At 40.0% G+C, this 13,074-nt stretch overlaps 1 protein-coding gene across 7 annotated transcripts in view; it reads left to right on the top strand.

Moving 5' to 3' along the window:
• The window catches only part of GPR155 (G protein-coupled receptor 155), a 55,459-nt gene that overhangs the window by 32,576 nt on the left and 9,809 nt on the right, over positions 1-13,074 (top strand). For all 7 annotated transcript variants that reach the window (NM_001267051.2, NM_152529.7, NM_001267050.2 and 4 more), the window contains 4 exons: positions 613-717; positions 7,707-7,843; positions 9,278-9,373; positions 12,271-12,335. In NM_001267051.2, the coding sequence (NP_001253980.1) occupies positions 613-717; positions 7,707-7,843; positions 9,278-9,373; positions 12,271-12,335 (403 nt within the window). The remainder of the gene's footprint in view (positions 1-612; positions 718-7,706; positions 7,844-9,277; positions 9,374-12,270; positions 12,336-13,074) is intronic.

Below are 13,074 nucleotides of genomic sequence, written 5' to 3'. Positions count from 1 at the left end.
CTTAGGTTCCTAGCCTCGGCTGGGCATGGTGGCTCACACTTGTAATCCCAGCACTTTGGGAGGCCGAGGCGGGCAGATCGCCTGAGGTCGGGAGTTCTAGACCAGCCTGGCCAGCATGGTGAAACCCTGTCTCTACTAAAAATTCAAAAATTAGCTGGGCCTGGTGGCAGGTGCCTGTAATCCCAGCTACTCGGAAGCTGAGGCGGGACAATCGCTTGAACCCAGGAGGCGGAGGTTGCAGTGAGCCGAGATTGCGCCACTGCACTCCAGCCTGGGCAACAGAGTGAGACTCCACCTCAAAAAACAAAAAAACAGAACAAAACAAAACAAAATCCTAGCCTTAAGTGATCCTGCCACCTCAGCCTCCTGAAGCAACAGGTGTAAGCTACCATGCCTGGCCACATTCAGTGCTTCTATGAGATTAAGTTTTTTTTATTTTGTATATGAGTGAGAACATTTGAATACTTTTGGATAGATACCATGTGAAAACTATTGAGGCTACATGGGAAGTGTGTGTGAGTGGATTTTGTTTTGTTTTCTTTGGCATTTCTTAAAATTGTCCATTTCTGTTGTGGTTGGGCTCTACTCTCACATACTATTTGATTGATATAGGTTGCTGCTCCTGCTCCATGGGAAATGGTGAATTACACTGCCCATCAATAGAGCCAATAGCAAACACAAGCACCAGTGAGCCTGTGATTCCTTCGTTTGAGAAAAGTAAGTGCCTCTGGACTATGAGGATGGGATTAAGGGACAGAAGATTCCTTATTCTTTTTTTTTTTTTTCTTTTTTTTGAGACGGAGTCTTGCTCTGTCACCCAGGCTGGAGTGCAGTGGCGCTATCTTGGCTCACTGCAAGCTGTGCCTCCCAGGTTCACGCCATTCTCCTGCCTCAGCCTCCTGAGTAGCTGGGACTACAGGCGCCCACCACCATGCCCAGCTAATTTTTTGTATTTTTAGTAGAGACGGAGTTTCACTGTGTTAGCCAGGATGGTCTCGATCTCCTGACCTCGTGATCTGCCTGCCTCGGCCTCCCAAAGTGCTGGGATTACAGGCGTGAGCTACCACACCCGGCCAGAAGATTCCTTATTCTTATCCCTCAAAAGAACTCTACATAGAATATCTATAGAAGTTACAAACATCAAGAATATAGATCCTCAATTAAGAGCAAAGAAGTGCTAATAGGGAATAATTGTGCATAGACAGAATACTCACTTTAAAAAATAAAGTTCTCACAAAGTGATAATAGGTAGTGTCATACACACATTTTCCAATAAATTTAACCCAAGTGACAAATCCAGGAAGTTTGCCCTAAAGGGCATTTTGGTGGGAGGTGGAGAGAGGGAAGCTTTTTTCTTGTTTTAGAAACAGACTTTTCCCCCATTCTCATCCCCTAGGACCAGGACTAATTAATTAGTTCTTAATTATATTTTGAATCTTTATGCTTTAAATATGGCCATTCTTATAAAATAAGGAACAAACACCTTTAAAAGTAATAACCTCTTGGCCAGACAAGGTGGCTCACGCCTGTAATCCCAGCACTTTGGGAGGCCGAGGCGGGTGGATCACAAGGTCAGGAGTTCGAGACCAGCCTGGCCAACATGGTGAAACCCCGTCTCTACTGAAAATACAAAAATTAGTTGGGTGTGGTGGTAATCCCACCCAACTGTAATCCCAGCTACTTGGGAGGCTGAGGCAGGAGAATTGCTTGAACACAGGAGGCGGAGGTTGCAGTGAGCCAAGATCACGCCACTGCACTGCAACCTAGGTGACAGAGCAAGACTCCATCTAGGGGGAAAAAAAAAGTAATAACCTTTTGACTAAGAGGCTGAATTACATTTGTGGCCTAAATTTCAAATTATTCAAAACAACCGAACATACTTATGTGGAATTGCAGTGCATTTTTCGTTGATTATACTTATTTATAATCAAACTAAAAAGGGAAACCCCCAAAAATGCTCTTTTTGATAAGGCCTATGTCAACTGTATTATTGCTAAAGGCATTATGTTTTTATATAAGAAATGTAAGGATTATAGAAAACAATGTATGCAAATCACTTAGCACAGTATGTGGTATACATAGTAAATGGTCATTAAAATATGTAGTAGCAGTAGTAATTATTGTTATTCAGATGGGATTTATATTTGGCTATCTGCTGGCAAGGAATGAATCTTAAATAATAATAGAATTCACATTTCCATAAAAAGTAGTGAAAACATATCAGATATGAAACATTCATTGACTTTTTTTTCTTTTACAAGAAACCCTTTCTGGCAGTTACACTGTCTTTGTTTTATCTGTCTGCTTTTTTTCTAAAATCGTTTCTTTACATCAGAATTCCCAAGGTTTTCCTCCTTATTGTTATCTCCCTACACAATATACCTAGTAGTAAAATCCATTAACAAATTCAACATGTAATCTGATTTGGCAAATTTCTTTTTCCCTCCCCAAATCTCCTTAGGCTTTGCTTATCTGTCATTTTCTTCATTAATAATGTTGATTCTCGCCTGAGCGTGGTGGCTCACTCCTGTAATCCCACCACTTTGGGAGGCAAAGGCAAGAGGATCGTGCTTGAGCCCAGGAGTTCAAGACCAGCCTGGGCAACATAGCCAGACCCTATCTCTACAAAGAATCAAAAAAATTAGCTGAATGCAGTGGCTCATGCCTGTAATCCCAGCTACCCAGGAGGCTGGGGTGGGAGGATCGCTTGAGCCCAGGAGGTTGCAGCTGCAATAGGCCATGATCATGTCTGAGCAACAGAGCAAGACCCTGTCTCAAAAATAAACAAACAAAAAGTTGATCATTGAAAATTCTCTTAAATTGTAGGGGCTTGGATTTTCTGATCATATTTTATAAAAATTATATAGAATGAGAGCCATTATATAGGGACTTCATCTAATCATACAATTTAGTGCCATCCCTAAGCCTAAAATAAAGCCTGAAGGAAATTAAACCATGGGCAAATTAGAATTTTTAGAGTTGACAATATAATTTATTCTCTACCCCTTGGCATAGTACAAAGGCAAAAATAAGTATCACATTTAGATTGTTGAATGGCAACAATGTATGAAAAAGCAAATGAAAGAAGATTTATTTTTATCCATTTTTGTAATATCTGTATAAAAAATTTTTTTTTTTTTGAGATGGAGTCTCGCTCTGTCATCCAGGCTAGAGTGCAGTGGCGCAGTCTTGGCTCACTGCAACCTCTGCCTCCCGGGTTCAAGCAATTCTCCTGCCTCAGGCTCCCAAGTAGCTGGGATTACAGGCACCTGCCACCACACCCAGCTAATTTTTTTTTGTATTTTTAGTAGAGACGGGGTTTCACCATGTTGGCCAGGCTGGTGTCAAACTCCTGATCTCAAGTGATCCTCCCACCTCGGCCTCCCAAAGTTCTGGGATTACAGGCGTCAGCTGCCGTGCCTGGCTTGTACACAATATTTTAAAACCAGATTTATTATATATAGGTATACTTCCAGGATTTTTCCACACATATATACAAATAATTTTTATTCAAATAGGATCATACTACAGAGACAGTTTGGCAACCTACTTTCTTTATACTTAGCAACATTATGAACCTTCCCCCATGCCATCAGCAATTGTGCTAGACCATGTTTAATGGGTATACATGGCCTTTTCTAAAATGTGGTTTTAGGAAATACAAATTTTTTCTTTTAGCTTGAGGGCAAGAGCTATAGAATTGTGGTTTTTAATCACTGACTTGTATAAGACTATATGTTGGACTAGACATCTATTTTGTAAAAAAAATGTTTTTCTTTGCTTTTGCTCCCATATATAGAATGGAGCTAAGGTAGAAAAACAAAGGCTTCCTGTGAAAAGTCCCTCACCTCTATTTTTGGCCAGAAAAGAGTCATGCCTGTGACTTGTGTTTGTATCCATATGTGAACAAAACATGGCATATAATACTTTTATGGTTCCTCAAAGGTGTTTCCTAAGGCAAAGTTTTTTTCAACTTTTACTTTAGATTCAGTGGGTACGTGTGCAGTTTTGCTACCTGGGTATATTATGTGATGCTGAGGTTTGGGGTACAAACAAATGATCCCATCACCCAGGTACTAAGCATAGTACCCAGTAGTTTTTTAGCCCTTGCCCTCTCCCTCCTTTCCACCTCTCGTAGTCCCCAGTTTCCATCATTACCATCTTTATGTCCATGAGTATCTGATGTTTAGTTCCCACTTATAAGTGAGCACATGCAGCACTTGGTTTTCTGTTTCTGTGTTAATTCACTTAGGATTATGGCCTCCAGATGCATCCGTGTTGCTGCAAAGGACATTATTTCATTCTTTTTTTTTTTTTTTCAAGACAGGATCTGGTTCTGCCACCCAGGCTGGAGTGCACAGCTCACTGCAACTGTTGCCTTCTAGGCTCAAGCCATCATCCCACCTCAGCCTACCAAGTAGCCAGGACTACGGACGTGTGCAACCACGCCTGGCTAATTTTTGTTTTGTTTTGTTTTTGAGATGGAGTCTCGCTCTGTCGTCCAGGCTGGAGTGCAGTGGCACGATCTTGGCTCACTGCAACCTCCGCCTCCCAGGTTCAAGCAATTCTCCTGTCTCAGCCTCCCGAGTAGCTGGGACTACAGGCACCTGCCACCATGCCCGGCTAATTTTTATATTTTTAGTAGAGACGGGATTTCACCATATTGGTCAGGCTGGTGTCAAACTCCTGACCTCAGGTGATCTGCCCACCTCAGCCTCCCAAAGTGCTAGGATTACAGGCGTGAGCCACCGCATCCGGACTTGTTTAGTTTTTTAGAGACAGGGTTTCGCCATGTTGCCCAGGCTGGTCTCGAACTCCTGAGCTCAAGCGATCTGCCCGCCTTGTCCTCCCAAAGTTCTGGGACTACAGGCATGAGCCACTGTGCCTGGCCTATTTCATTCTTTTTATGGCTACATAGTATTCCATGGTATATATGTAGCACATTTTCTTTATCCAGTCCACCATCGATGGGCACCTAGTTTGATTCCATGCTTTGCTGTTGTGAGTAGTGCTGTGATGAACATGCAAGTGCATGAGTCTTTTGGTAGAACCATTTTTTTTCTTTTGGATATGTACCCAGTAATGGGATTGCTGGGTCATATGGTAGTCCTGTTCTAAGTTCTTTGAGAAATCTCCAGGCTGCTTTCCACAGTGACTGAACTAATTTACATTCCCACCAATGGTATAAAGCATTCCCTTTTCTCTACAGCCTCACCAGCATCTGTTGTTTATTGATTTTTTAATAATAGCCCTTCTGACTGATGCAAGACGGTATCTCATTGTGGTTTTGATTTCTCTGATGATTAGTGATGTGCAGCATTTTTTCATGTTTGTTGGCCGCTTGTATGTCTTCTTTGAGAAGTGTCTGTTCATGTCTTTTGTGCATTTTTTAATGGAGTTATTTGTGTTTTGTTTGTTCAATTGTTTAAGTTCCTTATAGATTCTGGATATTAGGCCTTGTTAGATGCATAGTGTGCGAATATTTTCTCCCATTCTGTAGGTTGTCTGTCTACTCTGTTCATAGTTTCTTCTGCTATGCAGAAGCTCTTTAGTTTAATTAGGTCCCACTTGTCAATTTTTGGTTTTGTTTTTGTTTTTACCTTAAAACTTCCCAGTAGGCCGGGCGCGGTGGCTCACGCCTGTAATCCCAGCACTTTGGGAGGCCGAGGCGGGTGGATCATGAGGTCAGGAGATCGAGACCATCCTGGCTAACAAGGTGAAACCCCGTCTCTACTAAAAATACAAAAAATTAGCCGGGCGCAGTGGCGGGTGCCTGTAGTCCCAGCTACTCGGGAGGCTGAGGCAGGAGAATGGCGTGAACCCGGGAAGCGGAGCTTGCAGTGAGCCGAGATTGCGCCACTGCAGTCCGCAGTCCGGCCTGGGCGACAGAGCGAGACTCCGTCTCAAAAAAAAAAAAAAAAAACAAAAAACAAAAAACAAAAAACTTCCCAGTATAGTGTTTTTGTTACAATTGCTTTTGAGGACTGAGTCATAAATTCTTCCCAAAGGTCGATGTCCAGAATGGTGTTTCCTAGGTTTTCTTCTAGGATTCTTATAGTTTGAGGCATTACTTTTTTTTGAGACACAGTCTTGCTCTGTTGCCCATGCTGGAGTGCCATGGCACGATGTTGGCTCACTGTAACCTCTGCTCCCAGGTTCAAGCAATTCCCTTGCCTCAGCCTCCCAAATAGCTGGGATTACAGGCGGCCGCCACCATGCCTGGCTAATTTTTGTATTTTTAGTAGAGACAGGGTTTCACCATGTTGGCCAGGCTGGTCTTGAACTCCTGACCTCAAGTGATCCGCCCATCTCAGCCTCCCAAATTGCTAGGATTACAGGCGTGAGCCACCGTGCCTGGCTGAGACATTACATTTAAATCTTAGTCCATCTTGAGTTAATTTTTGTATATGGTGAAAGGCAGGGGTTAAGGCAAATTGTAAACTCTTTAATGAGAGGTTAAGAGATAATAATAATTTGTTTCACAGTTAGCCAAAATAGGGTATTCATGACTAATATGTAGATTTATCAGTGATAAAACTTGAGTTATTAATTCGGCCTTTAAAATTATATGTATATAATTTTAATATATACAATATAAAAATAAAAATATATATTATATACTTTTTCAACCTTTGTCCCCCTTCCTCCCTCCTCACCTCTAGTAGTCCCCAGTTCCTATTGTTGCCATCTTTATGTCCATGAGTATCTGATATTTAGCTCCCACTTATAAGTAAGCACATGCAGTACTTGGTTTTCTGTTCCTGTGTTAATTCACTTAGGATATATATAATATCTAATATATATTATATATTTAATATATAATTTATATATGTAAATTATAAATATAATTAAATATAAAATTTTTATTTATATATGCTTATATATTAATTTGTAATTTATATAATATGCACAAATTACATATATAATTATATATAAATTTATATGATTATAATATATACTGATATATAATATACATTTATAACATAATATATAATTGTTATATAATTATATATGTAATGTGTATATATTATTTATATAACTAATATATAAAATAAAAATTATATATAATTTATACTTAATTATATTAATTATATAAAAATTATATATAATTTTTTATTATTTTTTTTAATTTTTTTTGAGACAGAGTCTTACTCTGTGGTGCAGTCTTGGCTCACCACAACCTCTGCCTCCTGGGTTCAAGCGATTCTCCTGCCTCAGCCTTCCAAGTAGCTGGAATTACGGGTGCCCGCCACCACACCCAGTTAATTTGTGTATTTTTAGTAGGGATGAGGTTTCACCGTGTTGGCCAGGCTGGTCTTGAACTCCTAATCTCAAGTAATCTGCCTGCCTCGGCATCCCAAAGTGCTGGGATTACAGGCATGAGCCACCGCACCCAGGCAAATTATGTATAATTTTTAAAGACCAAATTATATAACTTATGTTAGATAATTATATATATAAAACATTGTTGAATAGTGTAAAAGGGAACTATTGTATTCTACTTATGTTTTTTGAGATAAAAACATTTCAGCTAGAATTCTTCTAAAGCAACATGAAGGAGCTTTCTTCCAATTTCATCTAAAATAATATACTGATTCTTAGCTGAATGTGCTTTTCTGTTGTTTCTCTTAGGAAGTCATTACAAATTTAAAATGCATTTAGATAAAAAGCTCTGATTACAAATTGTTGTGCTTACTCTTTTATAGACAATCATTGTGTGAGTCGCTGTAACTCCCAGAGCTGCATATTAGCCCAGGAAGAAGAACAGTATCTACAGAGTGGAGACCAGCAACTGACCCGACATGTGTTGCTGTGTTTACTTCTCATCATTGGCCTGTTCGCTGTAATGGTTTTTTCTGGTTTTGTTTTGGGGCCATTTCTTTAAATTTTTGGCAAAGGTTTTATTCAGGCATCCGGGAAAAACTTAGTTGCTGCTTTCCAGAAGTGTGGTAGCTAGGTCACCTGAATTTGGATCTTGAGCTAAATAATTGCAGGTGTGAGGGGAAGAGATGAATCATTCACATTACTCTGAGGCCTGAGTGCTCCAATAGCTTATTCTGCTTAGAATCATTTATTCATTCTATGCTCTGAACCTAGAATTTGGTAAAAGCAGCTATTTCTTTTTATTTTTTATTTTTTTTTTTTTTGAGACAGAGTCTAACTCTGTTGCCCAGGCTGGAGTGAAGTGGCATGATCTCAGCTCACTGCAACCTCTGCCTCCCGGGTTCAAGCGATTCTCCTGCTTCAGTCTCCTGAGTAGTTGGGATTACAGGCGCATGCCACCATGCCTGGCTAATTTTTGTATTTGTAGTAGAGACGGGGTTTCATCATGTTGGTCAGGCTGGTCTTGAACCCCTGACCTCAGGTGATCCACCCTCCTTAGCCTCCCAAAGTGCTGGAATTACAGGCGTGAGCCACTGCGCCAGGCCCAAAAGCAGCTATTTCAATAATGTACACAGGGCCACTTATTCCTAACATACCTGACTGACCAAAGTGGATAAATGCCTACATTAATGTCTCAGAACATGAAACCTCAGTGTCCACCAGAAAAAAAAAAAGAAAACCAAAAAACCTCTCAGAACATATTCCTCAGATAAACTTTAAAAAATAATTTTCAATTATCAAAATAACATAACTACTTCATATAATAGACCCTTACAAAATAGAGAAAATTAAAATACAGTATTTTATTTTTAGACTACATGCATTTCTTTGATTACTAAATGTCCTATTTGTGAATTATCAGTTCTTATTATATAATTCTTTGAGATGGTTCAAGTGTAACTCGTCCAGAGGTAGGAGATGGACCAGATAACCTATGAAGGAACGCTTTGCACACTGGGATGCTCGTGAGATAGTGTGATATCAGCCAATACCACTTTAAGTGCCATTTAAGAACAAAAATCAAAAAATAAGAAATGCTGCCAAGAATTGCTTAGTGATGTAATTGTTTTCATTGTGTAGAACTAAATTTAAAATCAGGCCTGTCTTAGGCTAGTTGGCAATCTTGATACATTATGTAAGCTTCTGTATTATGGCTCATGTCTTCTTGCTTCAAATCTGATCAGAATAGATAACTGTTTGAATGACATCTGTCAGGAGGAGAGGTTGAAACTTTCTTATTGAAAAGATAAAGCCTCTATATTCTCTCAGTGTTTTTCCGTCTAGTCTTTTTCCCTGTAATTATTAAGTAGGTAAGTTATTGTACTATGCTGTGGATGGAGAGGAATTATCAGCTTGCTTGATTTTAAAATACTCTTTTCTCCTTTCTTTACAGAATCTTTCCAGTTGTTTATGGTGGCTATTCAACCAAGAGCCTGGAAGACTTTATGTTGAGTTACAGTTTTTCTGTGCCGTGTTTAACTTTGGTCAGGTATTTATTTATGGAGAACTTTGAGGGGTTTTTGTCTTCCTGGATAGGTTGATTGGTAGGGGGTCGGGGGAAGCGGGGAGTGGATTAGGATGTTGTTTTCTTTCACATAAAAAGGATTTAGTTTGTTTGCCAGCTGCTGGTATGCATGGCAGCTGACAGCTGCTGCTTGTCTTCTAGTAGAGACGAATTATTATATTGGTTAAAGTCATCAGAATGTACGCTGAGTGCTTCCACCAGAAAAATGCCAGGTAGTAACTTTGGTGTGATCTTAATAAGTCACATTGGGACCGGGCTCATTGGCTCACACCTGTAACCCCAGCACTTTGGGAGGCCAAGGTGGGCAGGTCACTTGAGGCCAGGAGTTCAAAACCAGCCTAGCCAACATGGTGAAACCCCATCTCTACAAAAAAATACAAAAAAATTAGCCAGACGTGGTAGTCCATGCCGATAATCCAAGCTACTGCAGAGGCTGAGGCACAAGAATCACTTGAACCCAGGAAGTGGAGGTTGCAGCGAGCTGAGACTGTGCTACTGCACTCCAGCCTGGGTGACAGAGTGAGATGAGACTGTCTCAAAAAAAAAAAAAAAAAAAAAGGTCACTTTGGGAAAATAACTTAATTTCCCTGAACTTTTAATTTAGCTCCTTAAATTTTTTTTTTTTTTTTGAGACGGAGTTTCGCTCTTGTTGCCCAGGCTGGAGTGCAATGGCGTGATCTCAGCTCACTGCAACCTCTGCCTCTCAGGTTCAAGCAATTCTCCTGTCTCAGCCTCCTGAGTAGCTGGGATTACAGGCATGCACCACTACGCCCGGCTAATTTTGTATTTTTAGTAGAGACGGGGTTTCTCCAGTTGCTCAGGCTAGTCTCCAACTCCCAACCTCAGGAGATCCACCCACCTCAGCCTCCCAAAGTGCTGGGATTACAGGCATGAGCCACCACACCCGGCCATCTCCTTAAATTAGTGGACATCATTTCATTTACATTTTGATGTTTCTTGAACAATAGATACTTAAATCTTAAAAAGAAAAATCATGTGGTATATAAATAAATTTTGGCTAGGGATAGCAGTTACCATTCCTTGATAGTCTACTATGTGCCAACCATCGTTAAGCATTTTACATTCATTATCTCATTTAAACATCATGACAACACCTGCAAAGTAGTATTATCACCCCCAGTTTATGAATTAGGAAACTAAAATTCCATAAACAAGTAATATGATAGGTGCTATTGTCTATGTTTATGTCACTATTAAAATGGATACTTAAGGATAAATTACATCTTACATATTGGGAAAATATTTTTTATGTGCAAATTCCAAATTTTGACCTTTAACTCCTTACTTTTTTTTTTTAATTGAGATGGAGTCTCATTCTGTCATCCAGGCTGGAGTGCATTGGCATTAGCTCACTGCAACCTCCACCTCCTGGGTTCAGGTGGTTCTCCTACCTCAGCCTCCTGAGTAGCTAGGACTACAGGCACCTGCTACCATGCCCAGCTAATTTTTGTATTTTCAGTAGAGATGAGGTTTCACCATGTTGGCCAGGCTGGTCTTGAACTCCTGACCTCAAGTGATCCACCTGCCTTGGCCTCCCAAAGTGCTGGTATTAACGGGCATGGGCCACCGCACCCAGCCCTTACTTTTGCATTACAGAATATTAGTCCACAGACTGAGTATCAGGTCAAAAAACAAAAAACCCCACACATTTGAAATCACTGAGTTTGTCTATTAAATCTAAAATAATTTGCCATATGAATGAGTTAACATTTGTCAATAGATGTTGCTGTTTTTCCTAATATTAATTTCTTACAATATTTACAGTTTGGCCATTATGATGGGAGCAAAAATGGCTATGCCCACAGAGACAAATGACCTTAATCAGTTTATTACAGACAGACATGAGCATCCTACTTGATATCTCACTTTGTGATACTGTTTAAGATCTGATTTTGTATCTAAGAACTATAAAATACTGAGTTGAAAAATCATAGTCTGACTTAGCATTTTGCATTCAGAAAGCCCATTCTAAGCTGAGCTATCCAGAACTGGGACTGGGATGAGCTTCATTCCATAGGGCTGTGTCATCAACAGCAGCTAATGCCAGGAATGTTGCATTTAAAATGCTGCCCCACAACTTAAGGCCGAAGTGGTTCAATGGAGCAAGACAGACAGAAACCCCATTCCCATCCCATTTTCCTCTTGGGGAGGTGGTATGGTAAGCTCATTCCCTTCTGGCTGTTTATAGTATGGGGGATGAAGAAATTTGGGTCCTTCTGCATTCTCCATTCTACTTCTATCAAGTTGCACTCAGATCCTTATCCCAGTGTGACACAGATGGCAGCTCCCAACTTCCTATCTCTCAAAAAGAGTCTTTAAATTGTCCTAACCTGTGGCTGATACCTGGTGCTAGGCATTTGCCTTGACACTCACAAATCCTTGAACTCTTCTCCTAACCACTAGCCAGTTTCACTTTACATAAATTCTGTTCAATTACTGCATTATTATTAGATACTGCAACACTTGTTAATTATATAATTTGTGAGGTTTCATGGAAAAATAATAAATACTTACGCACAGTGGGAAATATTTTCTTTTTATAAAGGGGAAACAAAGACATATATGCCCTTAAACGTTTTCATTTTACTATCATGTAAATGCGGCTGCTCAGCCCTGGTTTGTATCACCCATCACAATGAGTGGGATAGAATGATTGGGAAAAGGCAGCAAAGCATCATACCTGCCTTTGAAGGGCCTACTTTGTGTGTTCCACTTAAAATGTTGCTCTTGTCACTATAGGTTTGTCTCCTCAAACACTAAATTTGGTGACTTCCTTAACTTCTCTGTTTTAAAATGTTATTGTTGAATTCTGAAAAAAATAACTTTGTTTTCTTCCCTAGGGATTTATTTCCTTTGGAATCTTTGGATTAGATAAACATTTAATCATCCTGCCTTTCAAAAGAAGGTAAATTAAGTTTTGAAATAAATCTGTATCTGTAAATGTGATGACAAAGCCATTATATTAAGATACTGATATGGGGCCATGCATGGTGGCTACTTGTAATCCCAGTACTTTGGGAGGCCAGGGTGGGCAGATTGCTTGAACTCAGGAGTTCAAGACCAGCCTGGGCAACATAGTGAAACCTAGTCTCTACAAAAAAAAAAATACAAAAATTAGCCAGGTGTGGTGGCATGCTTTTGTAGTCCCAGCTACTCAGGAGGTTGAGGCAGGAGGATGGCTTGAACCTGGGAGGCAGAGGTTGCAGTGAGCCAAGATTGTGCCACTGCACTCCAGCCTGGGCGACAGAGCAAGATCCTGTCACACACACACGCACACACACACACACACACACACACACAAAGATACTGATGTTTTTCTATCGCAAGGACAGAAAACCAAACACAGCATGTTCTCACTCATAGGTGGCAACTGAACAATGAGAACACTTGGACACACGGTGGGGAACATCACACACCGGGGCCTGTCGTGGGGTAGGGTAAGGTGGGAGGGATAGCATTAGGAGATATACCTAATGTAAACGACGAGTTAATGGGTGCAGCACACCAACATGGCACATGTATACATATGTAACAAACCTGCATGTTTTTTACATGTACCCTAGAACTTAAAGTATAATAATAAAAATAAAAATTAAAAAAAATTTTTTAAATATATATATATTTTAATTTGATTGGTAAAATTA

The sequence above is a fragment of the Homo sapiens genome, chromosome 2 (genome assembly GCF_000001405.40).
Source record: "Homo sapiens chromosome 2, GRCh38.p14 Primary Assembly".
Lineage (NCBI taxonomy): Eukaryota > Metazoa > Chordata > Mammalia > Primates > Hominidae > Homo > Homo sapiens.
This window is presented reverse-complemented; position numbering and strand designations above follow the sequence as displayed.